This window comes from Homo sapiens, chromosome 20 (genome assembly GCF_000001405.40).
Source record: "Homo sapiens chromosome 20, GRCh38.p14 Primary Assembly".
Lineage (NCBI taxonomy): Eukaryota > Metazoa > Chordata > Mammalia > Primates > Hominidae > Homo > Homo sapiens.
The window spans coordinates 64,221,199-64,246,423 of NC_000020.11; the positions used below are offsets into that span (position 1 = coordinate 64,221,199).

Genomic DNA, 25,225 nt, shown 5'->3' on the forward strand with positions numbered 1-25,225 from the left:
CACATGCGAGTGCCTGTCAGGACAGGATTTTGAGCTCTGGTTACAGCATCCTGCAGAATGTTGGCCTTCTGACCCTTCCTGGACCCCTGGCCCCTCCGTGGGAGGGACTACGCCCTGCTTATCTGTGTCCACAGCTCTGAGCCTCCATACCCAGCATTCAGTTCGAAGCCTTTATCAAGCACCTGCTGTGGTCAAGGCATCGCACTGGTGGGCGTGTCGGGCCAGGTGGTTTCGAGGTTACTGCGATTGTTGTAATTTGTATGTTATTACCCTCGTTGTGCCATCTCATCTTCATGGCATTTCGGTAACACTTATTTAGTGCCTACTGTCTATTGAGTGCCATCCCTGGCTCTGAAGGGAACTGTATCCTGATGTTTACGCTGCGGAGTGATGTGGCGGAGGGAGGCCAGGGAGGGTGTCAGGAGCCTGCCACACTGGGCAGCACCAGGCCTCATTTCTAGGGCAACGCAGGACCTCTGGCTGAAGCAGGGGAGGGATCCAGCCCCTCAGGGGTGTTGTCTTCTGTGTTTTGCTGGGGGGAGTTAAGTCTTCCTCCCTTATCCAGAAGATAGGAGACTCCGGGAGATGCTTCTGTGGACACTGTCCTGAAGGGTCCCTCTCCCTCGCCCACTGGGTTGGGCGCCCAGGCCTCCCCGCCAGCCGGTTAAAACATCTTCCTGCTGGTTTTTTGCAGTCAGAGCCAGCAGCCCATTCTTTTGCTTCTTCTGAAGCAGATGACCAGGAAGTGTCGGAAGAGAATTTTGAGGAGCGGAAGTATCCGGGGGAAGTCACCCTGACCAACTTTAAGCTGAAGTTTCTCTCCAAGGACATAAAGAAGGAGCTGCTCACGTAAGTCCCTGTTTGGCTGGCACAGCTCCTAGGGGACCCTCTGTGGCCTGGGGAGGAACAGGCCCTGGTCCCAACCCATGACGACCGGGTCTGCTCAGGCTTTCCCCGACCTGTCCTGACCACCTCGAGCCAGGCAGCCTGTGACAGGAGCCAGGGTATTCAGAGGTTTCCCAACACCTTTGTGTTGTGCTGGGCTTTACTGCAATCTTCTAAAAGTGATTAAGAACAAAGAAATCCCCTGGCCAAGCTCACCAAGCAGGACAGAGCAGGGCAGGGGCAGAGTGGAGGAGAGCTCCTCAGAGAGCTCTGCAGGAAGCCCTCGGGGCACCCAGAGGCCTGGCCCTCTCCCTGAGGCCGCAGCTGGGCACGTTCTGCCCTGGGCTCCATGGCCAAGGCCTGGAATGTACTGCCTTAGGGCTCACCACCCTCAACTCTGTCAGCCTGGCTGGCCCAGAGGCTGCGTGTCTGAGCTGGTCCGCATGGGGTTGGAACAGACAGAGTTGCTGATGGATATGAATCAGATGTCAATGACCTTCTGGTCAGCCTTCATTGCCAGCCACCTGTCCTAGGGGACTGTGAGAGGCTGTGCCTGGCACCTGCTCCACAGGTGATCCAGCTCTCACATGTGCTCAGAGTACATTTCTGGGGTCCCTCTTCTCCCCAACCTGAACCCCTCTTGTACCCTCACACTTGTAGCTTGCCCTCCTGGGAGTGGCTGGATCCAGGGAAGGCCTTGCTTCAGGGCCTGGAGAAGGGAAGGAGCTCCTCTGCCTAAATATTCGTGGGCACATACACGTGCACACACAGCACATGTGCGTCAGAGGCATCCTAACTTTAAGCTCAACTTTAATTTGGTTACTTTTTCTTCTTGAGTTAAGTTGTGTGGGAGAAACTTCCAGCCTGAGAGGCACCGGCTGTCCTCCAAGGACTGAGTGGAGGAGGGGCCACCGCTTGGCTCGCGGGTGAGCCAGGAGTGGGCACCAGTCTCCCTCGCAGAGCAGGCTCAGCCTGGGGGGCAGGTACACACCACTCTCCGGTCTGACACTCTTTTTCCTTTGTCCAGCTGTCCCACCCCTGGCTGTGACGGCAGCGGCCACATCACCGGGAACTACGCCTCCCACCGCAGGTTTGTCTCCTGCTCGGGTCCGTCTGGCCTGGGTGCTTCGTGGTGGGTCTTCCTCCTCTCCTCCTCCTCTGCTCTCCCTCTTTGGCTTACCCCAATATCCCATCTCTTCTCTTTCAGCCTCTCTGGTTGCCCTCTTGCTGACAAGAGCCTCAGAAACCTCATGGCTGCCCACTCTGCTGACCTCAAGTATGTTTGCGCTCCCTGACCTCCTGTCTCTTGGGCGGCACCCTCGCTTTGCTCTCCTTCCATGAGGCTCCTGCCAAAATCAGCCTTCTCCAAGGTGCCAAGCCTCAGCTGGCCCCAGCTCTCCTGAGATGGGCAGAGGGGCAGGGCCGTGGAGGGGCCGATTCTGCTTGGCTGGGGCTGCTCTGCCTGTGTGCACCTGCTCTGAGCTCTGCTGTTTGCCTCTCCGCTGGGGGCTAGGGGTCGCTGCAGGCTCCTGCGCTGCTCTTGACCCATCCCCCACCCTCCAGCCTCTCCTGAAGATCCCCGACAGGGCTGTCTGGGCCTGCTTTCTTACTGCCCTAGAGATTTGGGAAAAGCCCAGAACCGACCAGGGAACGTAAGCCCTGCCGTGGCTCGGCAGGCCACAGGCTGTGCGGCTCTTGCTAAATGAACTGAACGCTGATAATGAAGAGAAAGCTCCTTCCCCTCCCCTCTCCTGTCACGCTCCAGCTGCTTCTGCCTTGGCCCTGATGCCCTCCCCCCATGCTCATGCCTTCTCTTTGCTGGGCTCACCCGTTTCTGCTTCTGTACCTCCCTGCCCCTACCTAACACATGGGCAGGGCAGGCCCTGCAGGCACCAGCTATAGCTTGCTGGACAGTCCTGCACAACCAGGCGCAAGCACCCAGAGGTTTCCAGGGGTCAGTGTCCTCCTGGGGCTGGAGTCAGGGACTGTTACTGCCTTTGGTTTTCATGCCTCCAGTTGTGCTGTGACTCCTCAGCCTGTGTGACCCTGAGCCATGGGGAGCTCCTCCTGGGCACCGGGGCCGAGCTGAGGCCTTGGAGGAAGGGGGTCCCATTCTTGTCTCCTCAGGTCACCTCTCTCCAGGGGTGTCCCTCCCTCCCATAGGCCTCTGTGTTGGGGGCCCTGAATCCAGGTCAACACACCCTGGCTTATTCCATTCTGGGGCCAGACAGGATCCTGGGCACTGGTGCCTCTAAGATGAGGAAATGAACTTGCTGAAGGCTTCTAGGGACCTTGGCTGGCTCAGACCTGGACAGAAAGCTCTAGGTCTCCCAGAGCCCCCACCAGCAGCCTTGTCTCTGTTCCCCTCTGGAGGCTGGTCTGGCCCCAGCAGCCAGGAGGAGTGTGTCATGAGGCCCTTCAGTTCCCACAGAGTGGGGTGCAGCATCTAAGTTTCCTTCCTGGAAGTTAATAGCTTCAACATAAGCATTTTCTGAGGCTGAGATCACCACAGCAGCTGCACACATTGACTTATTCATTCATTCTGCCGCCCACTTTGTCTAGTCCTAGAAACCCAGGAAACACTCAGTCCTGCAGCTTCTGGGACTGTCCTCTCTCCCTCTTTCCTTCTTCTCTTGCCATCTTTCTTGCATTCCTTTTTCCTTTTCCAATTCTGCTTTCTTTTCCGTGATTAGTCTCCATGGTTTTTCCCATTTGGGCCTGAATAATTTAAGAGGAGAAATGTGGCTGCAGGCACTCAGTGGCCCCAAATGTCACCATGTCCTTTCTGTCCTGTGAAGTGGATGCTTGGGCGGATGAAAGGAGCTTGGCACAGTTCGGGCCTGGAGACATGGCCGTCTGGGAGAGTTAGTGCTTTTTTAAGACTAAGAGCCTGTGAAGAACCTTAACGCCAAACTTCTTTAGAAATAACGACCAAAAGCCTCCCCTGTGTGAAAGTGAACCGCTCATCAGCATCAGCAGGGTTTGGGCAGGCAGCCACGGCCTCCAGGCTCCTTCAGAAACTCCACTCTCCCCCAGGGGCCTTTCCATGGGAGGCCACTTCCTTTCCTCCCTCCGACCACTGCATGAGCTTGGGACGATGGTGGTCTCCCCCCGCCACGTGTCCTGGTGTACCAACCTCCTTGCTCTCTGCCACCTCCTGTGTGAGGCGGCATCGGGCACTGGCCCCTCCTGATCAGCCTCGTGGCAGCCATGGGTGACGGTGGCCTTGGGACAAACGAGGTTCCTTTCATGACTTCCCTGTCCGCACCTGGCTGCAGCGACAGTCAGATGATGTGTGTTCTGTGTTTTAAGTGAATCCCAAGGGCGTTCACTCTTCCCTCCCATGTGTCTGATGTGGTCAAGGGCTGTGAGGACATGGCCGCCTCGGGCCACTCAGCTCATCTTGTGTTGGGAGTTGAGCTGCAACCACACACACCTGCCAGGGCATGACAGGCTTTGTGCAGGGTGAAGAATGCCTGTCCACAGCACGGGGATGGGGCTTAGAGAGGTGAGACCTGGTGTGTATTGCCAAGGTAGAGGGTGCCCCTCAGACACGGTGTTCCCTTCTGCCCAGATGGGGCACTCAGAAGCAGGTGGTGGGAGGGGTGGATGTGGCTCCAGATTCCTGCAGCTGACCCTGGGGGTCCACAGAGCCATGAGGGGCATGCAGAGGGGACACCTGCTCCTCTGACTATGTGAGTACTTTCCTCTCTGGGACACAACTCTTGAGAAAAGCCATTGAATCGGGCCTTAGTGAGGACTGCAGGATGGCCCCCCCTGTGTGTTAGGTACTGCCGGCCCCTTGGGAGTTATACCCCCACCTGAGACTCACTCACAGATGCCATCGGGAAGTATCTCCTCTGCTGTTGATGCCACTCACAGTCCAATGCTGTGCTTATCCCCGTTGAGGCCTAGAGCTGCTGTGGGTCTGTCACTCTGGCCACCTGAGTGGCCACTTGCCCACCGCACTGAACCTGAGCTCTACCTGATGCTTTGCTGCCACTGAGACAAGGAGCTGGAGCCCCAAGTGGCCACTTGAACAGCTGCCAACCCAGGAAGGAGAGGCAGGCCATCTTCAGTTCTCTTGGCTGGCCAGCAAGGTATCCAATGTGTGGCCCACAGGGCAAGGATGAAGGAATGTGAGGCTCCCCAGGAGGGCACCCCAAAAAAACTCCTAGGGGCCGAAGAGAAGGTTGCAAGAGGTGGGGCCAGCCCTGCTGTGCCGCCACAGCCCTTTGGGTGCCAGGCTGTGCCCGGCTTCATCTTCCTCCAAGCGAGGAGATGTCCTGTCCCAGTGGCCGGATGTCACATGTGCTGGTGGAAGACTCCGGTGAGGAAGGGCCAGCAGCATGGAAAGTGAGACGTCCTCCCTGGGGTCTGAGCACCACTGCAAAGTGCCTTTGAGCAGCAGGTGATCTGGACACAAGCACTGAACTCTTGCCTGGCTCCTGCAGGGTCAGGGGTCAGGAGGGGTGAGGCACAGAGAGCAGGCCTGACGGGGGATGGATCTACCCGCAGAATCAGGTCACCTCCTCCCACTCTCTAACATCAGCAGGAACTCACATATTTTTTCCTCAGTGGACATTCGGAAGAAAATAACATCCGTGCTTGTAATATTAAAGTGGAATTTTGTACCACCTTATGTGATACATTCGTCAAATAGTTTTGGGTGTGTAAAGTTGGACTTTTGTGTTTCTCCTCCTTACTCTCTGCTGTAAGCCACTGGCTGTGTGAACTCTGCAGTCATGCTATACAACAGCCAGGCCTGGCATGGCCAGCGCCATCTGCTCTGCAGCAGGTGTGCAAAAAGGCCTCTGTTCATTTACCAGCCCATGGTGGCCACGCTTTGTGAGGGCAAGCTCCCAGCCCATCCAAGAAGATGAACTGGTCTTAGGCTGTGCTTCAAGTTATGGCTCAGATATGCTCTGAATGCCTTTAGTCCAGACCGGACCCTACAGAAGTCCAAGCTGGGAGCCCTTCGTGTCCTTGGCTGCAGTGGACCCTGTAGGCCTGTCCCAGTGCCCAGGTTTGGTGTCTGGGTGTAAACCGATGCTGGAGCAGCAGTTGGCTGCTCTCCTCTCAGACTTCCTGGTCTCCCTCGGGGAGACGGGGGAGCAAAGCACTGAACCCCTGAGATGATCGCATCAGACCCCTGTTGCTGGCAGTCGGCAGCCGGGGTGAACATCGGCGATGCTCCTCTGCGGACAAGGGAATGTGGGTGGGCGCACTCAAGGGCTGAGCCCAGAAGGCTTTCCTCTGGGGGTCCCAGGGCTCTGGGCCGGGGCTAAACGCCTTCACGGGCTCCCGTTCCAGTTCTGCTTCCCTCTGCAGGTGCCCCACGCCCGGCTGTGACGGCTCTGGCCACATCACAGGGAACTACGCTTCACACCGGAGGTGAGCCTGCCACACCCTCAGGTCCTGGGCCCCAGGGGTGGGCAGGGAGTCTCTTCCTTATATGAAGATTAGAAGACACTAATGTTGCTGACAGCTAGAGTCCATTCCCATCTCTTTAATCTGAATTGTTGCCATTTCCAGAACCTGATTAAGTTGTCCTCTGCAGTAAGATAAAAAGACAAGGGGTCAGGGCTAGGGGCTCGTGGTAATGCTTCTCCTTCCCGACCCTGCTGCCTCGTGTGAAGGCTGTGTCTGTGGATTCTGCTTCTTACAACTGACCCATCGGTTGCCCTCACTCCCTCCCACCCCACCCTGGGGTCACAGAGCTTGAGGGGAGAGGGTGAGATGAACGGGTGTGAGAAGCTGCGGTTCCAGCACTAAGGTGGCCTTTTTTCCTCTTTCGAAATCAGCTTGTCCGGCTGCCCTCGTGCAAAGAAAAGTGGAGTCAAGGTGGCACCCACCAAGGACGACAAGGAGGACCCCGAGCTGATGAAGTACGTTGGGCCATGCTGGCTCTTTCATTGCATTGCGGAATTGAGATTTTCGTGTGTTTTATAATGTAAAAAAACTCCTACTAGATTCCCTTTTCATTAATACAACGGGTCACCTAACTGACCAACGCCAACTTTCGTTTCTTTCATTTTTATGGAAGCTCTCATACGCTACACGTTGATACCTGTGAAGATAGGAGCCCTGGATGTCGCGTGGAGGGCATGGGTGCCAGATTTTCTGGGCTTTTCAGGTCTGGAGTATTTGACGGGGCTGGGAGAGGCAGAGCACCCTTCTACCTATGTCTTAGGGCCACCTGGGAGTGGGCCCCAGGGCCTTGCAACCTGCAGAATTTGTCTGGCAGGAAAGGTGAGATGCAGGAGTCAAGGAGGAGAAGGTGGTTAGAACAATGTTGAAGCTCCAAATCCCATGTGTCCATCCACCCACACACCTGTGCAGAGAGCTGGTAGATTGAGAGAGCCAGGAGGATCTAAACTGGGAGCCAGACACTGTTGGGTGAAGGAAAGAGGACATCTTGGGCCTTAAGTGACCCAAGTCCTTGAGGAGAAAAGATTCTCCTCTATTGCTCTTCTCACTGGGGCAGGGTGGGGGCTCGTGTGTCTTTGTGGGGCTTATAGGTGAACCCTGACTCTGTGTGTTATCCTACTTGGTGGGGGTTTGTGTCCTTACAAGCTTATTCTCCCAATAGGGAACGGGTCCCCTGCACTGCCCACTTTTAGGTGGGGGGAATGCTTTGCTACAGACTCAGACCAGGTGACCCACTGGCCATTTTGCCCAGGACCGAGGTACTTTCAGAGCTGACATCTGGCAAAATGGGCAGTGGGTTCCCCAGCAGGTGAGCAGAGTGGAAATGATGGCTCTGGACACCTTGTTGCCCAGGGTTAGGGGCCGGCTCGGTCGGGACGGGGCCCTACTATGCCCGCAGGAAGCAGGTTGCCCTCGTTGTGTTACCTGCTGGGCCAAGAGCAGCCAGACCTCACGCCCGGGGAGGGGCAACTTGGCCTGAGATTGGGTTGCTCCTCCTGGTAGTTTGCTCCAGCTGTGCCCAAACACCCGGCCACACTGGAGGAGCCTAATTGACCAACATCACATCCTTCAGACGGGGATGGGCCCACCAGCTGTTTGGTGTAATAGGCTGTGGCTTGTTTATTTATTTAATTTTTACAATAAAACTGTAATGAATGCTAAATTAACAATGCAAAATTTTGGTTGTTAGTACTATGAAGGTCGCACACTAAATGCTGAGGTGGATAAAAAGCATTTTGCCCCTGAGAATCCAGGAATTTGCCTATGATCATATAAGTGCAACACCTTTATGGATTTGGCAAGGATCCTGCTGGCAGGGATATTATAAGTGAATCGTGCTGCATTTGCAAATGATTAAAATCAAGATCAGCATTTTTCAAATTAACCAGGAAAAATGGTTTTCCTTTCTAATGTGCTGTCAACTGAGCTTTAAAAAAAAACAAGAGTTCTGCAGCCGAGTGGAGACTGTGACTTTCAGAAACACTTCAGCATTTGCAGGATAGAGGAAGGTCCTAGAGGCTCCATGGCAGAGGGAACCTGACTACTGAACCCTCCGTTTTACAGGGTTCCTTCCCAGCCATAAACTTTAACTGCACTTGTAATTGCCTAGCATATTTAAACAGATGCATATCAAAGCAGAAACTGGAATGGATGTGTCAGGTCATGCTGAGGGATGGGATTTCGTCAGCATGCATGAGCTGTGATTTGGGGAGCCTGGTGGAACAGGAGTCCTTTTTATGATATCTCCTGCCTGCGCTATTTAAAATTAAGTCACATCAGGCGCTTGGTGGTAAATCCCTTTGCCACAGCTTTATAACTGGTCATAAAAGTCTTGCGGAGGTTCCAGCATGGGAGTCAAGAGGTGAATGCTCCCCTTGCCCTGCCCACTGTCCCTGGAGGGGACTTCTGGTCCTGGCCATGTTTCTCATGTCACTGGCACACACGGCTTCTGCCCCCCAACACGTGATAGGAAACACTAGCTCACCCAAGAAGCACAGAGGCCTCACCAGCTCAGTGCCTGCCCCCACCGCCCCAGCACCTCTCAACATGATGTCCCTGACAGCTTGAAAGTCTCCACACCAGGTTTTGTGAGAAAGAGAACATACCTGAAATCTGAAATCCTCTCCATGTATGCGATTCAAGGGAACAAAAACAGTTTCCCTTGATGAAGGGGAGTAGTGTTTTGCAAGAAAGGGAGTGAAAATAACTCAGATTTGGGCCGGGCACTGTGGCTCATGCCTGTAATCCCAGCACTTTAGGAGGCTGAGGCGGGTGGATCACCTGAGGTCAGGAGTTCGAGACCAGCCCGGCCAACATGGTGAAACCTCATCTCTACTAAAAATACAAAAATCAGCCGGGCGTGGTGGCGGGCGCCTGTAATCCCAGCTACTCGGGAGGCTGAGGCAGGAGAATCGCTTGAAGCCGGGAGGCGGAGGTTGCAGTGAGCCAAGATTGTGCCACTGCACTCCGGCCTGGGCAACAAGAGCGAGACTCCATCTCAAAAATACTACTACTACTACTAATAATAATTCAGATTCGACTGTGTAGAGTAGCTGAAGAGCCAGCCACCCCCCATTTGGCCACAGAGCCTCTTCCCAGCCAGTCTGTGCCTGGTGCAGGTGTCCCCCAGGGTCCCATGGCTGGGCCATCCCCATCAGAGGGGGGCTGGACATTGAATGTGAACTTCCCAAAGCTCCCATAGGGGCCCCTGGCAGTGTCTCTGCTCTGGACGGGGATGAGGTGACCTCGGACTGGCTCAGGGAATGTCCTAAAAGTTTCTGAGGGCCAGGTGGGTGGGATGAGTAACAAAGGGAAAAGAACCAAGAGAGGGGCCTGTGGAGAGAGAGAAAGCAGGGTCCTGGCCGAGTTGGCTGGGAAGGGTCTGAAACGGCAGCTTCAGAGACGAGGCCAGAGTGTGGGGGCAAGGAGCCGGACGCTGCCCTCCCTGTCCAGGCCTTGTTGACCTTCCACTGGGCAGCGCAGCCCTGAGCCGCCTCTCACCCCTACGGCGGGAGCCTCTGCCCCCGCCCCCGCCCCCTGCTACCGTCCTCCCGAGCGCTTCCTGCGCTGACAGTGACTTCCCTGTATGCCCATGAATCTCCTCGTAAATGGAGCCATGGTGACCTCTCGGGGTCTTGTGTTGCCAGGTAATCAGCACACAGGGAGTGTGTGACAAACGGTAATTTGGATGAGTTTCATTTATGAAGAGATAAGAATGAGCCTTGCAGATTGAAGATCTTGTCCTGGGTTTGGCGTGGGTTCCTGGATGACGTGGTCCCTCAGCTCCCCAAGTCCTGGTCCAGGTCCTTCCCTGAGGCAGTGGGGACAGACACTCAGAGAGGTCATGGGCCTGGGCCCTCTGCGCTGTCCTGTTTGTCTCTGACCCACACTGAGCCCAAGGCATTTGCCAATCTGAATTTATGTTATTTTCATAAGGGCCTCTATCCCTCTCCTGGAACACCCAGAACGAAGGAAAGGAAAACACCATTTAAGGCCAGCCTCAGGCACGAGTGATTATGGGTAGCGAGTCTCCCCCACATGAGGTCTGCGTTCTTCCTTCTAGAACATAGATCTCAGTGGTGGCAAAGCTGCAACATCTATGGGCATTGCCCCCTGATTGCACTGGCCTCAGTCTGGGAGGCTGTGGGGTGACAGGCCTCTGCTGTCCCTGAGCTCCCCTGCTTAGGGGACCTTGTCATTCTTTTGTGATCCATAGGCCCCCAGGCCTATGCTTGATGCAAGCTCCCAGGGAGTGGCCTCTAGGTGGTCTCAGCTGACAACATGGCTCCACATTGCTGAGTGACACACAAGTGACTCCAGCAGCAAGGCTTGGAGGGAACCTGAGAGCAGCCCCCAGGCCCAGGGTCACGGCTGCTGGAGGGCACGGAAAGAAGGTGGCTGTGGAGACCCCAGTCATGCAGGGGCTGTGAGGCCAAAGCGGAAGAGGGAGCGTGGCCCGGGTCTTCACACTCAGCCCGGAAGGGCCAGTTCTTCCCTGAGGCTCCAGGACCTCAGCGGCCCTCCCTGCCTCACTCAGAAGCCCTTTAACGGCTCTGAGTTGGGCTCCCCTTGTGTCTGGCTTGAGAGAGTCTCCAGGCTTCTCCTCCCAACCCTTCGCCCCTGTACTCACCCCGGCCTCTCTGTACCCAGGTGCCCAGTTCCAGGCTGTGTGGGGCTCGGTCACATCAGCGGGAAATACGCCTCTCACAGGAGCGCATCCGGCTGCCCACTGGCCGCCCGCAGGCAGAAGGAAGGGTCCCTCAATGGCTCGTCATTCTCCTGGAAGTCCCTGAAGAATGAAGGACCGACCTGCCCCACCCCGGGCTGTGACGGCTCTGGCCACGCCAATGGGAGTTTCCTCACCCACCGGAGGTAACTGTGCCTGCAGGTCCTGCCCCTCTGTGCAGTCAGTAGGGACCCTCGCCTGGGGCCTGGGGCTGAAGCTCCTGAGGGAGGGCCAGACCAGGGCTCCGTGTGACCAGAGTTGCTCAAGGGAAAGGCCAGGCCACATGGGTAGCGGATGGGGGAGGCTAGCGGGTCTGTTGGTGCCAGGTGATGCTGTGGGTTATGTCTTCGCCATGCGTCTCCCCTCATACGCCACCCTTCCACATCCTGATGGAGTCCTTCCTGGCTGGGTGTTATGCTGGACACAGAGGCCACACATGAGCAGAGCCCTGGGTCTGACACTTACGTTCTCTTAACAGGCTGACAACTTCTCAGGAAAAGTTTGTCTCCTACACCTTATGCCCTGTCCCTCCCATTCATACCTTCTCAGGAAAAGTTTGTCTCCTACACCTTATGCCCTGTCCGTCCCATTCATGCCTCTTCTTTGAACTCTGGGCAGAGACCCCTGCCTGCCTTGCAAGGGAGCTGGTAACCCCTCTCTGTCAGGCAGTGGGCCTGGGCAGCATTCACCAACTCTCGCCTGCCCTCCAACACCTGCTCCAGAGCCGAAGGACCTTGCTTCACCAGCCCCACTTCCTGTCTGTGTCCTATGGTGACAATGAGTGCCTGGTCCCATCAGAAACCCTGTGTCTGGGCCTAGGGCCAATGCTGACTCTTCATTCCCTCCCCTGTCCCTCCCCTCCCCTTCTTCCCTCCTCCTTCCCCTCCCTTCTCCCTCCTTTCCTCTTCTCCCTCCCTTCCTCCTTCCCTTTCCCTCCCCTCTCCCCTTTCCTCCCCTCTCCCTTCCCCTATCCCTCCCCCTTTCCTTCTTTCCCCTCCCTTCCCCTTCCCCTCCCCTCTCCTTCCTTCCTCTCCCCTCTCCCTTCCCTTTTGCCTCCTCTCCCCTCCCCTTCCCCTCCCCTCCCCTTCCCCTCCCCTCTCCTACCCCTCCCCTCCCTTCCCTCTGCCCACCCCCCACCTCCCCCACTCCCTCCCCACCCCCTCTCCTCCCCTTCTTCCTCTCCCCTCCCCTCCCCCCTCACCTTCCCCTTCCCTTCCCCCACCTTCCTCCCCTTCTCTTCTTTTTCTTCCCCTCCCCTCCCTTTTCCCTTCCTTCCTCCATCTACAAGATTAATTAACTCACTCATTCAACAAAAGCATTTGCACCATGTACCAAGCCTTGGAGAGAGAGCAGAGAAAAAAAGGACAACTACCCCTTATCCTTGTAGAGTGCATTTTGGGCAGAGTAGGTGGGACAGCCTGTAAACAAATAAATACGTAAATTACTTAGTATGGTGAATGGTGGTGCGTGTGCTGGGCAAAAAAGAAGCAGGGAAGAGGACAAGGAAGTCCTCTTTGAGAAGGAAGTAGCAGCTTGGCCTGAGGTGTCTGGGGCACAAGCCCTCAGCGAAGTGGCTGGAGCTGGGAACAGCCTGGCCCGCTGGACAAGGTTGGAGGTGCTGAGGGCCTGGAGCCAGGGAGAGGGAGCAAAAGAGATGAGGTAGAAAGTTCTAAGCCAGGGCTTATCTGGCTGCCCGCTGGCAAGGACTCAGCTTTCACTGTGAGTGAGGGCCCTGGCAGAAGGCAGAGGAGAGACTAGATCTGGCATGGGCAGCTGGCATGGACACAGCTGCAGAAGCCGGGAAGGCCACTAAAGGAGACTACTGCAGCCGGGGTCAGTTGGGCAGAGACTTATGCTGGGCTTCCTAAGGACATCTTACCTTGCCTCAATCAACCTTTACTTATGGTGTGGATACAATCACTTCATAAATGAAATCATGCTTGAGAATGCACAATTGTAATGCATTTTTCTGCTTGAGTGTCTATATCCGAGGAGTGATCTGTGACTGTCATTATCACCACAGCCTAGAGGGTATCTCAGAGGCAGACGCAGCTAGGATGGGCTCCTCTGGGAGGTCAGGGCTGCAAAGTACCGGCAAGTGGGTCATGTGGACCTCAGACCCCAGAGGGAGCCCTGCTGAGAGCAACGGTGCCCTGGCCCCCCGAGTATCAGGCAGGGTCAGCTATGGCTGTGCCAGATGAGGTGAGCTCTGGAGTGTCCCCTTCCCAGCCTCTGCCCTGCCTAGATGTAGCTTCTTTTTCCCCATAGAACACAGTTTGGCCATAGGGAGGCCCTCCAGGTCATCTAGGTGAGGTGGAACATGCCTTCTGTTAACCCGTAATGTGTGACCCTGGGCTGGCCGTGGTGGGTGACCCTGGGCTGGCCGTGGTGGGTGACCCTGGGCTGGCCGTGGTGGGTGACCCTGGGCTGGCTGTGGTATGTGACCCTGGGCTGGCCGTGGTGGGTGACCCTGAGCTGGCTGAGTGACCCTGGGCTGGCCGTGGTATGTGACCCGGGGCTGGCCGTGGTATGTGACCCTGGGATGGTCATGGTGTGTGACCCGGGGCTGGCCATGGTGGGTGACCCCGAGCTGGCTGTGGTGGGTGACCCTGGGCTGGCCGTGGTGGGTGACCCTGGGATGGCCGTGGTGGGTGACACTGGGCTGGTGGTGGTGGGTGACCCTTGGCTGGCCATGGTGGGTGACCCTGGGATGGCTGTGGTGGGTGACCCTGGGATGGCTGTGGTGGGTGACACTGGGCTGGCTGTGGTGGGTGACCCTGGGATGGTCATGGTGGGTGACCCTGGGCTGGCCATGGTGGTTGATGCTGGGATGGTCATGGTGGGTGACCCTGGGATGGCCGTGGTGGGTGACCCTGGGATGGTCATGATGGGTGACCCTGGGCTGGCTGAGTGACCCTGGGCTGGCCGTGGTATGTGACCCGGGGCTGGCCGTGGTATGTGACCCCGGGATGGTCATGGTGTGTGACCCGGGGCTGGCCGTGGTATGTGACCCCGGGATGGTCATGGTGTGTGACCCGGGGCTGGCCATGGTGGGTGACCCCGAGCTGGCTGTGGTGGGTGACCCTGGGCTGGCCGTGGTGGGTGACCCTGGGATGGCCGTTGTGGGTGACACTGGGCTGGTGGTGGTGGGTGACCCTTGGCTGGCCATGGTGGGTGATGCTGGGATGGTCATGGTGGGTGACCCTGGGATGGCCGCGGTGGGTGACCCTGGAATGGTCATGATGGGTGACCCTGGGCTGGCTGAGTGACCCTGGGCTGGCCATGGTATGTGACCCGGGGCTGGCCGTGGTATGTGACCCCGGGATGGTCATGGTGTGTGACCCGGGGCTGGCCATGGTGGGTGACCCCGAGCTGGCTGTGGTGGGTGACCCTGGGCTGGCCGTGGTGGGTGACCCTGGGATGGCCGTGGTGGGTGACACTGGGCTGGTGGTGGTGGGTGACCCTTGGCTGGCCGTGGTGGGTGACCCTTGGCTGGCTGTGGTGGGTGACCCTTGGATGGCTGTGGTGGGTGACCCTGGGATGGCTGTGGTGGGTGACACTGGGCTGGCTGTGGTGGGTGACACTGGGCTGGCTGTGGTGGGTGACCCTGGGCTGGCCGTGGTGGGTGACGCTGGGATGGTCATGGTGGGTGACCCTGGGATGGCCGCGGTGGGTGACCCTGGGCTGGCCGCGGTGGGTGACCCTGGGCTGGACGTGGTGGGTGACCCTGGGATGGCCGCGGTGGGTGACCCTGGGCTGGCCGCGGTGGGTGACCCTGGGCTGGCCGCGGTGGGTGACCCTGGGATGGTCGCGGTGGGTGACCCTGGGCTGGCCGTGGTGGGTGACCCTGGGATGGCCGTGGTGGGTGACCCTGGGCTGGCTGTGGTGGGTGACCCTGGGATGGTCGCGGTGGGTGACCCTGGGCTGGCCGTGGTGGGTGACCCTGGGATGGCCGTGGTGGGTGACCCTGGGCTGGCTGTGGTGGGTGACCCTGGGATGGCTGTGGTGGGTGACCCTGGGATGGCGGTGGTGGGTGACCCGGGGCTGGCCGCGGTGGGTGACCCTGGGATGGCCGCGGTGGGTGACCCTGGGCTGGCCGCGGTGGGTGACCCTGGGATGGCCGCGGTGGGTGACCCTGGGATGGCCGTGGTGGGTGACCCTGGGCTGGCCGTGGTGGGTGACCCTGGGATGGTCGTGGTGGGTGACCCGGGGCTGGCCGTGGTATGTGACCCTGGGCTGGCCGTGGTATGTGACCCTGGGATGGTCGTGGTGGGTGACCCTGGGCTGGTGAATGATATGTGGCCTCTGCTTCCAGTTTGTCAGGCTGTCCCAGAGCAACCTTTGCTGGAAAGAAGGGAAAACTGTCAGGGGATGAGGTCCTCAGTCCAAAGTTCAAGACTAGCGACGGTAAGGATGGCTTCCTGGATTTCCCTGCTCATGGCTGGGTGCCAGGGTAAGTGAGAGCTGTGCACCTTTTGTGCTGGTGGGAAGAAGGTTAGGGAGATGAAGCCCCTCCTGGAATGAGTCACGGCAGAGGCAGATCCCTTCACCTAAGCTGACAGCCTTTCGGACCTTGGCTCTGAAGCTCTTGACACCTGTGTCTGGGGTCCCTGGCCCTGAGGAGGTCATGCCTGCTGTAACCTGCGGCTTTGGTGACCACTGGGATCAGAGTCCAGTGGAGCCCATGTGCTGTGAGTTTGTGGAGAGGTGTGGCTCATTCCCCCTTAGGTGAGGAAATTCAGCATTGCCTGAACAAACTTCCATCTTTAATGTAGCATTTAATACCTCCCAAAGAGATTTAAGCCTTTCCACCTGCCAGCCAGCTCGGAAGGCAAACTATAAACACTCATCTCACAATTTTCAAGACAGATTTCTCCAGCGCATAATGTGGGGTATGAGCCCCAGAGAGAGATGAGCTCGGAAAACCAGGAGGGGAGACCTCTGCTGCACAGGGGGTTTCAGTTCTAGAAAGCAGGCTTCCCCACAGCACTTTGGCCCAGGCCTGCCTGAGGCCCAAAGCCACAACTGAGGTTTCTCTCTGGGTCAGTGTTGGAGAATGATGAGGAGATCAAGCAGCTGAACCAGGAGATCCGAGACCTGAACGAGTCCAACTCGGAGATGGAGGCTGCCATGGTGCAGCTGCAGTCCCAGGTAGGTGGTGCCGCCCCCCGCTCCTGGGCTCTTTGCCCACCCAACCCAAACATTCGTCTTGGGGACAGTGAGGCATCCGTCGGCACTCATCAAGGTTGCTGTCAGGGCTGAGCTGACGGACAGCGCAGTGGCTGGCACACAGGCACACTTAGGACGTGCTGGCCGCTCACAATGCGGAGTCCGTGAAGTCACACTGTGAGTGCCAGTGGGCCGCCGGAGCTGGTTGTCCCGCCAGGGCTGTGGTCTCATTAGTGTTAATAACACTATTAATAATACTAGTCCCATTAAGATTAGCAGCACTGTTTCTCTTACTCTCATTAGAATGAGTAGTCCTGTCAAGACCAGCGGTCCCATTAGGATTACCAGTCTTGTGAGTACCAGTGGTCCATGAGCGTGGTGCGGTAGAGCCAGGTCTCTGGAGCCGGGTTTCCTTCCCAGCACCCAGCACAGCCACATGTTTGTCACAGCTGAGGGACCTGACAAACCTTTCAGCCTCTTCCTCAGTCAATTCCTCCATAAAATGGAGGTAAGAATAGGATTCTACTCCAGCCAGTTATTGTACAATGAACGCATTTCTATGAGGAAAACATTCAGCATAAGCACCTGATCCAGAGTAAGTGCCGTCGATGAGAGCTGCTGTTGCTGAGGGTTAGGATTACAAATTATTTTAAATGTTTGTGTCATATTTCCTGATTTCCCTAAAATGAGCATTTGTAATCAGAAAAAAAAAAGCAGTAAAGATCTTATTTTGAAAATAAGAGCATGCCCCACCTGTGGCTGCTGAGTGGAGTCTGCAGCCGTGCTGGGGGAGACATAACTGTGCCCCTAACAGCTAGAGGGACAAAGGGACAAGGAAGTGACCAGGTCCCACAGAGAATTTGGGCAGAGCCCCTCTGGGCAGGGACAGATGGGGAGATGGTGGCCTCCACCAAGGCAGCAAAAAATGAGTAACATCCTCCAGCCCCACGTGTCTCATTACTCTGCTCTTGTCTCTACTGGCAAACAGGCTCATGTTGACTCTGCTCTGGTCTCTACTGGCAAACAGGCTCATGTTGACTCTGCTCTGGTCTCTACTGGCAAACAGGCTCACGTTGACCGCTTGTTACTCAAGAGCCTGTATAAAAATAGCATCACCCCACAGGGATCAGGAAGGATTTTCGCTGTCATGCACATGTCGATGTTGCATCCCCCCAGGTTCATAGGCAGTGACGACAGAGAAGGAGTGATGGCCCTCCCGGCGGAGCCATCCCCGTCCCCTCCTGGTGTCTCTGAGTGTGGAGATGCACTGTTGTGTGGGTGTCCATTTTGTGCTCCCTGCTCCTCCCCTTCTCAGAGTCCCCAGGGCCTTCATCAGTGTCAGTGTCGTTGGGGTAGCACCTCTGATTTCTTTTTATTTGCCAAAACCAATCTTTTTAAAGACAGATTATTACCTTTTACTAGCATCCCTTTGGAAGGACTCAGAAACCCCTGTCCATCTGAGGGAGTTTGGTGACTGGTGCCCTCTGCGGAAGGGCAAAGGCAAAGGGAAGGCAGGTCCCTATCCCCCATGCAACCCTTTCAAAGCCACATGCTTGTCACCAGGTGGCAGAAGAAGCGTGCTTGACCCCATCCACAGCCTCCCAGGAATGAGCTCCCCACTCCTGCCTCGTGTGTCACCCACACTGTCTTTCTGTGAGTTTAGCCTCTGCCCCCGTGGCTCCCTGCAGATGTGCAGTCAGGCTGGGGGCTATTCCTGGACACCAAAGGCCTCAGGGCCAACACAACCCTGGGCAGGTTCACCGCCATGGTGGGGAAGTGAGAAGACTTGCCTGTAGTTGGCCTGGGGAAGTCGTGCTTGGGAGGCCCTGAGGAGGCTCTTTGTGGGGATTTCTGGTGAGGGGAAGACCCAAAGGCAGTCTGACACTCCACGGGGGGGTGCAGTGATTTCCATCTTACAGATAGAAGCAGGAAACATGGTGAAGCTAAGACCACAGCAGGTGGAGTCTGAGATTGAGACAGGGCGCTGTGAAGTCTGTGCTCCCACCCCATCCCCTCAGGACAGAGGGGCTCAGAAAACCAGGAGTGGGGACTTCTCCTGCACGGCGGGTTTCAGTTCCATCTAGAAAGCATGGCACAGAGGGACGTGCCACACGAGCCCCCTTCCTGGCTTCCCTGGAGTCAGCCCATGTCTCCAGAGGGCCCTTGCCTTTCTCTCCTCTGCCAGCCCCTCACCTGTGGCAGAACCCCCTACAGGAAGGCAGGGTCCCTGCCTCTTCCCCCACCCCAGGGTTCTGCATTCTCCCAGAGGGTTGTGAGAGGCAGCCCAGAGAGGACCCCCAGGAGGATGGGGGCCAAGGGCAGGCGGCACTTCGAATCTCTCTCTGGCACAGATCTCCTCCATGGAGAAGAACCTGAAGAACATCGAGGAGGAGAACAAGCTCATTGAGGAGCAGAATGAAGCCCTGTTTCTGGAGCTGTCCGGCCTGAGCCAGGCCCTCATCCAAAGTCTCGCCAATATCCGCCTTCCGCACATGGTAGGCAGCACGCGGGCCTGCCGGCACCACAGCTACCCCCCAGGGTCTCTTCGGAAAGCAGGAGGGCAGGGCATCTCCCACCCCCTCTGCCTCTGGGTCCTGCCCTAGGGGCCCTGTGCCCTTGTGGAGATTCTCTCCACCCCGAATGGCCCGGGCTGTTGGCTGTGGTGGGTTTAGCCACCATAATGAGTAGCTGCCATAAAGAGTAGCTAATGAATCCAAAGCAAAATGGTGATTCCATGAGCAGAGAGGCTACTGCTGGGATGGCTGCAGAGAGGAACGCCCAGTGCTGCCTCTGGTTGGTGTGGGCTTGTCTCAGGTCACGTGGGGACATAGGTTTGATGCTCCCACATCAGGCTCTGCGGTGTGGGGCCCACTGCATGGACGGAGCTTGCTAACCTGGTTCTGTTCTCTAGGAGCCAATATGCGAACAGAATTTCGATGCCTATGTGAGCACCCTCACCGACATGTACTCCAACCAGGACCCGGAGAACAAGGACCTCCTGGAGAGCATCAAGCAGGCTGTGAGGGGCATCCAGGTCTAGGCCGTGTGGTACCCAGAAGTGTCCCAGCCCACCACACCGTTTACCTCCCTCGCCCTGCCCCGCACCGTGGGGATGCCCAACTCACAGTGACTTCCCGTTTGGGGCCCGGTGTGGCCGCGGGCGGGTTTATCCAAAGGGATGGCTGGAAATTGGCCGCTCCCACGAGGCTCCCTCCAGGCTTGGGGCCGTGGTGGCCCTATCTGTGTGCATAGGGGCACTGAAGAATTACAAAGTGATTTATTTTTGTTTTCTGAAAGAAATCTGAAGAGCAGCTCAAAGTCTCCAGTGGAAGCTCATGGACAAGGTTCTCAGGGAAGTTTTGGAGTTTGCAACCACAGTATTCCTTTGTCTGTCGAGGCTGGGAGGGTAGCCGTGAGCGTGGTGGGTGGGTGGTGTGAGTGGCATCTTGGCCTGGAGGACACGCCTGGGGCAGCGTGTCTGTGCTCAGTGAGGGCCGATGAAGAAAGTGCGTTTTCTGTTTTCATTTAATTCAGTTTTGTGTTAAGGGTGGAACAAAGCTCTGTTCTAGAGGGAAAGTTAGGAATAGGCCTCCCAGAGGATACTCCAGACAGTTGACAAGCATCGCAGCCCCTGTCAGGTCAAGGAATTTTAACCTGGGAGACTCCTGAAAATCAGCCTAATGTCTGGGGGCAGCTGGCGCTGAGGCTGTGCAGATGTGTATGGCCTTGGGTCACAGCTCCCTACTGGGGCTGCAGCCTTTAGACCCTGGGTCTGGGATCCACGTCTAGGGACCACTCTGGCTTCTGTGCATCCACCCAGGCCCCCGACCCATCACTGCCACATTCTCCGGGTCATGGCCGAGCTTGACCTCTGCATCCATGGTGACGGAGGTGGCAATGACATCATCAAGGTCAGAGGGTAAATTCCTAACAGGAGACCACAAAGGTTTCACTTCTTTTAGATCCATCCAATATGCGAAAAAAGGGTACATTTTAATTTAATGTGTTAAAAACACAATGTCCCTACCGTGTAAATAGAATCCAAGTCAATTGTGACTGCAATTCCAAGTTAGTATTTAAAAATAGAGAAATTGCACTTCCTGGAAAAAATTAAAAAGTAGTTAGTTTAATTATTCTGTAAATTATTTAATTTTGTCAAGATGTAAGTATTTATATTCACAGCCTCTTATGTTAACGTTTGCTATTTATTTAACATTTTTATTTATTAATTTTATACTATTTCAACTAGACCCCACACCAGGGCACCCTAAGAGGGGAAAAAAGTGAATTCAAAGCAAAAATAACTATTTGACTATAATATAGGCCACAAAAAATCTTGATATAACTCCTAGTTATAATTTTGATGCAACCAAGTTATTTTTTATATATTTTGTTATTTATTCTTTTAATAATGGAATTTTTTTAAAAAGTATTTTGTAACTGAGGAATTTTGATAATTTGGGGATTTTGTTTTCCCTTGGTCTAATGGAGAGAAAGACATTTTGGTTTTCTTTTTCCATTTTGGGTTCCTTTTGTTTCAGGCACGGATAACAGCAAATGGAATTCTGTATTTATTATTATTTAAGTGTAGCGCAGATGTGTGTGCTTGGGCGTGTTTCTCGTGTCGCGTTTGCGTGTCGGCTCTTGCGGTGGAGTCCTGTTGCTGTGAGGGAGTGCTGGCCGCAGGCAGCCTCGAGTCACCGCCAGGCTCACAGGCTGTGCCACCCGTCCCTCCGACAGCTCCAATACTGTGACCCTCCTTCCTCAGGAAGCGCGTTGAACCCACAGCACTCCGTGGTGTGTTTGCAGGGTGATTTCCTAATAAAAGTCCACTCTGACTGTGAATCGGTGCTGTGGTCTGTGGGGAGGACATTGTCTCCATTCTTGGTGAGCTCTATCATGCACCCTCCTGGGAGCACATGCCCAGGAGGGGAATCTTCCATCTCTGGTCTCCCCTTGATACCACACGTGGGTCCCCTCTGGTGTCAGCTTAGCCAGTATCTCCTTTTGAAACTACCCTACCTCACCGCCTCCACGTGTGTTTCTAGAAGGTGTAAATCATTGTATCTTGCCCCTTCCCACATGACCAGTCATATGCAAATTGAAGTTTTTCCCAGGAGTCTTCTCTTAGGGTCAGGGAGAATAACTTTTCCTGCTGAGGTTGTTAGACTTGGGGGTGTGGAACTGGGGTTGCCCTGGGCTATCTCTCCTGGCCACAGGATGAAGCCATCAGTAGTAGGAGAGAGTTCAGACATTCTGGAGGGGGGCAAAGCTGACAATGGAGGTAGATGTGAAGGAAAAGGGAGCTCTCTGATGATCTTTTTAGAGCTCATGGACCCAGCCATGTCTGAAGGCACTCCACCCTTGAACTGCCCAGTTATATAAGGCAATGGTTTATTTTTTTTTTTAAGCTGGTATACAAGGCCAAAAAGCCAATGCATACCAGCTTTAAAAAAAAAAAGAGACTTCTCCCCTTTTTCATTTTCGTACTTTTGTGTCAGGTGGAGCTCTAGTGCTCCTAGAGTAAGACCTGGACTTGGGACTTCTAGTCACATTCAGCCTAAACTGTCAACATGCTTTTGACCTCCCTGGAATCTGGCCCTGGTGGTAGTCCTGGAGCGTCCATCTGATATGCAAACAAAGGATCCATCTTCACTGACAAATTCTTAGAAATTCTGGACTGAGTTTCCACCCTCTGCTGTAGTCAGACAGGGTCCACAACACCTGTGGAGGACATTTGATCTGCCTTCAAGGCTCCAACTGCTGGTTGTGGGGGCCCAAGCAGGTGCCAGTGCCCACTGGTGGGTTATGCAGAACATGTTCAACTGTGAGGAAGGGTTCCTGGGGGTCCCCTTTGGTGAGGCCCCATTTGTGATGGGGAGACCAGTGGCCTGGAGTTGTACCCCTTCACGTCAGCACAGCAGATGCTGGGGTGGGTGTGAGCAAGACCGATTCTGAAGTGTCCCCTCAGCAAGCTGAGGTAAAGTCATTCTGGGGGGTATGAGAGTTGGCTGGAGAGGTGGGGACTATGATGTTCCTGCTAGGGGACACAGGCTGTTACCATGATGTTAGAAAGCTGCACAATCCCATAGTTTGATAATGGCACGAGCTGGTCACCCCCAAGAAGATTCTCTCACTTTTCGCTTAGAGGCACTGGCTGGGCCACCAGCCTACTGGGAGCTGAGAGAAAGAGCGTCTAAAGTCACAGGCATGTGCTCTCTTAGGATTTATTTTTGGTATGGGACCCCACAGCTAGGCCTTCTCTACCAGCCTGCAGACCCTCCTGTTTACTGTATCCAGAGGATAAAGCTCAAGGTTTCATCCAGAGGGAGGGGAGTGTTTGCCAGGCTCTCAGAGTCGGGGTGGAGTTCTGGGGAAGGGGGCTACTGGCTCCCGAAACACTTTCTACCAGTTGTCTTCTCCCATCTCCAACAGAATCTGGTGCTACCAGTTATTGGGGGTTCTGAGGTATGGACGGTGTTGGCTCTGAACTTTCTACACTCTGGCTAGAATTCAGTGTTTTGTGTCTCCTAGGCCATTTATTTTGCATCTGTGAATTTTCTGGCTTCTAAATTGCATTGTTGTCCCCTCTTTCATCTCCTCACTCCTGCCAATGTATGCCTTAAAATCTGTCATTTTAGGCAGGTGTAAGAGAGAACAAAGGTAAATACACATGTGCACCTGCTTTCCTTACCTGAATGGGTATGCTTCCAGTTGATGAGCACACGACTGTCTCCCTGAACAGACGGGAAGTCAGCTTAGTGCTGGGTCGACATCACCCCATGAGTAAGGGAAGCCTCAAGTTCAGGTGAGATTTTTCCTATTAACCACTCTGTCTCCCTGAAGCCAGTAGCCTCTCAGAGGCTGCTAAAGACATGGATGTGGAGGGTTTCCTAACTGTCAGCTGATTGTGAATCCTGCAACACAGGCCATCCATGCTCCCAGGGGTTATAGCATCTGTGCCATTCCCTCTGTCCTTCTTAAAATATGGAGGTGGAGTGTGGACTTCTCTAATGGAGTCTTAAGTCTTCACAAGGGCACCCTTATCCATGATCGTGGGTGGCCTGGGCTGGTGCCAGGCAGCTGACCTTTGGCAGAGCTATGCTCTGAGCCACTCTGGCCCTCACTGCACCCCAACCCTACCATCCCTCCTGGCTGCTCCCATTGTCTCTGCCTCTCTTTCTTTCCTCTCAGTGTCTGCAGCATGCAGGTCTCCGTGTGTGCTGACTTTTCTAAAGCCTGGCCTCTCCTCTTCCAGCACCTGCTATGGCTGCCTCCTCCTCTCCCTCTACTGTATCTTCCTCCCACCTGCTTATGTGCTCCTGGCCTCTCCTCCTTCCTGATTTCCACCCTACCCTGCAGCTGCCTCAGGGCTGTCCCAGCCTATGTCCCAGCCCCTTTCTTCTCATTCCCAAGGCTGATGTCTGCTGTGTGCAGAGAACTCCCATACTGTCCCCCAATCCTTTCTTCCCTGGCTCTAGTACCTTCTGGGTATGCACTTGGATGCCCCAGAGGCATCAGGACACATGCCTGGGTGACCACAACAGCCTGCTCGCTACGCCCACCTGGTCCTCTCTGGGCCCAGCAAGATACCAACCCCCATCAGCCCCTGGTCTTCACTCACCCAGCTGAAGGTCACATGGCCATACGGGAGTTGCCAACAGGGGCCACAACTGCCTGATGTGCCACATGAATGTGAATGCCCCTGTGGAGCACCCAGCTTGTGCTATGTGCCACCCCATGGGGCCAACCATAGAGCAGCCCTGACTAGGGCAGGTGTATGATGTGGGGGAAGAATGGATGGTTATTTTGGATCCTGGGGAAAGCCACGCAGGGATACGTGCACAACAGCACAGTCTGTGCCCTGCCCAGCATGTGGACACAGTGACTCCCCTGAGCTCCTAGAGAGCCCCTCCCAGTAACTGGCATCACAGTTTCCTGAGCTGTCTACTTGGGCTGATTGTAGCTCCTGAGAACTGGCCACACCCCTGGCAGCCTCGTGAGCCAGTGTAGGTCTTGAGGGGCACATTGGGAGCCCCACGAGGTTGGAGGAAGTGGTACAGTCTCAGCCCTGCAGAGCCATCCCTGAGCACCCACCACTCCCACGGTGAGAAACCTTGCTGGGGGGGCAGGGGGTGCCTGTGAAGCCTTGTCCCCTGACCCACAGGAGCCCAGGGGCAGGAGGGTGAGCAGCAAACTGCAGCCACCACTCCAGCACCCAGCGAACCCTCTTCATGGGACCCATTCATCTCTGCTCATGGGGCACCTTTTGCCAAATTAGACACACTTTTGCCTATTTATTTCATACACTGTCAAAAGTGTTTTCCTTGTCTTTAATTCGGTCACAGCTCTCTCTGTAGAAGTTGTCAAAATAGCAGAAGTCAAATCTGGTAATATTTATGACTAAAGATGGCGAGGAGCCATGTGAGAACCAACCTGCTGCCTAGGAAAGACCAACGAGAAGTGCTGCGGGTTCCACCCCATATCCCCTGGGCCACTGCTTGGGACCCCTGATGGGTGGATAATCTCAGAACCCATCAGGCACCAAATCTAGAAGGGTTCCATTATGGCTGCCCTAACTCCCACCCCACATAGAAGTCCTACTTGGCTCAGCTCTGAGCAGATAAGGAGAAATAAAGACTGACCATTATTGAATCTTATCCCTTTCTACACATTTGGGCTCCTTCCACCTCTCAACCACCTGTGATACAAGCAATAGGATTGTCCCCATCATGCAGATGAAGAAACCAAGGCCCAGGGAGGCCCAGAAGGCCACTCAGAGTCACACAGGGCTTGGCTGTGCAGCCGGGGTTTGCCGCAGGCCCCTGACTCCAGAGCTGGCGCCTTCGGAACCACATGATGGTGTCTGCAGCATATTCAGGAGGAGAAGAGCGGATCTGCACAGAGCAGTAGGATCCAGTGGGTATCCAAGGGGCCAGAGGAGAAGGGGCTGCTGTGGTCCCTAGTCCAGTGGGAAGGGCAGGAGGCACCAGGAAGAATCTGCCTGGCAGGGCA

At 55.5% G+C, this 25,225-nt stretch overlaps 1 protein-coding gene across 1 annotated transcript in view, besides 3 other annotated features; it reads left to right on the forward strand.

Moving 5' to 3' along the window:
- MYT1 (myelin transcription factor 1) overlaps nucleotides 1-21,055 on the forward strand; it is a 77,802-nt gene extending 56,747 nt beyond the window's left edge. The window contains exons 14-23 of the mRNA NM_004535.3: nucleotides 695-849; nucleotides 1,913-1,975; nucleotides 2,093-2,161; nucleotides 6,217-6,279; nucleotides 6,690-6,773; nucleotides 10,966-11,187; nucleotides 15,357-15,448; nucleotides 16,089-16,192; nucleotides 18,562-18,705; nucleotides 19,122-21,055. Of these exons, the coding sequence (NP_004526.1) occupies nucleotides 695-849; nucleotides 1,913-1,975; nucleotides 2,093-2,161; nucleotides 6,217-6,279; nucleotides 6,690-6,773; nucleotides 10,966-11,187; nucleotides 15,357-15,448; nucleotides 16,089-16,192; nucleotides 18,562-18,705; nucleotides 19,122-19,250 (1,125 nt within the window). The 3' untranslated portion in view covers nucleotides 19,251-21,055. The remainder of the gene's footprint in view (nucleotides 1-694; nucleotides 850-1,912; nucleotides 1,976-2,092; nucleotides 2,162-6,216; nucleotides 6,280-6,689; nucleotides 6,774-10,965; nucleotides 11,188-15,356; nucleotides 15,449-16,088; nucleotides 16,193-18,561; nucleotides 18,706-19,121) is intronic.
- Nucleotides 2,340-3,195: an enhancer, noted in NCBI's record as "H3K4me1 hESC enhancer chr20:62854891-62855746 (GRCh37/hg19 assembly coordinates)". NCBI's record gives its function as "activates a minimal SCP1, AML or CMV promoter by ChIP-STARR-seq in primed H9 embryonic stem cells {active_cell/tissue: H9 hESC(primed)}" and the evidence as "EXISTENCE:reporter gene assay evidence [ECO:0000049][PMID:30033119]".
- Nucleotides 5,142-5,641: an enhancer, noted in NCBI's record as "H3K4me1 hESC enhancer chr20:62857693-62858192 (GRCh37/hg19 assembly coordinates)". NCBI's record gives its function as "activates a minimal SCP1, AML or CMV promoter by ChIP-STARR-seq in naive H9 embryonic stem cells {active_cell/tissue: H9 hESC(naive)}" and the evidence as "EXISTENCE:reporter gene assay evidence [ECO:0000049][PMID:30033119]".
- Nucleotides 23,363-23,863: an enhancer, noted in NCBI's record as "H3K4me1 hESC enhancer chr20:62875914-62876414 (GRCh37/hg19 assembly coordinates)". NCBI's record gives its function as "activates a minimal SCP1, AML or CMV promoter by ChIP-STARR-seq in primed H9 embryonic stem cells {active_cell/tissue: H9 hESC(primed)}" and the evidence as "EXISTENCE:reporter gene assay evidence [ECO:0000049][PMID:30033119]".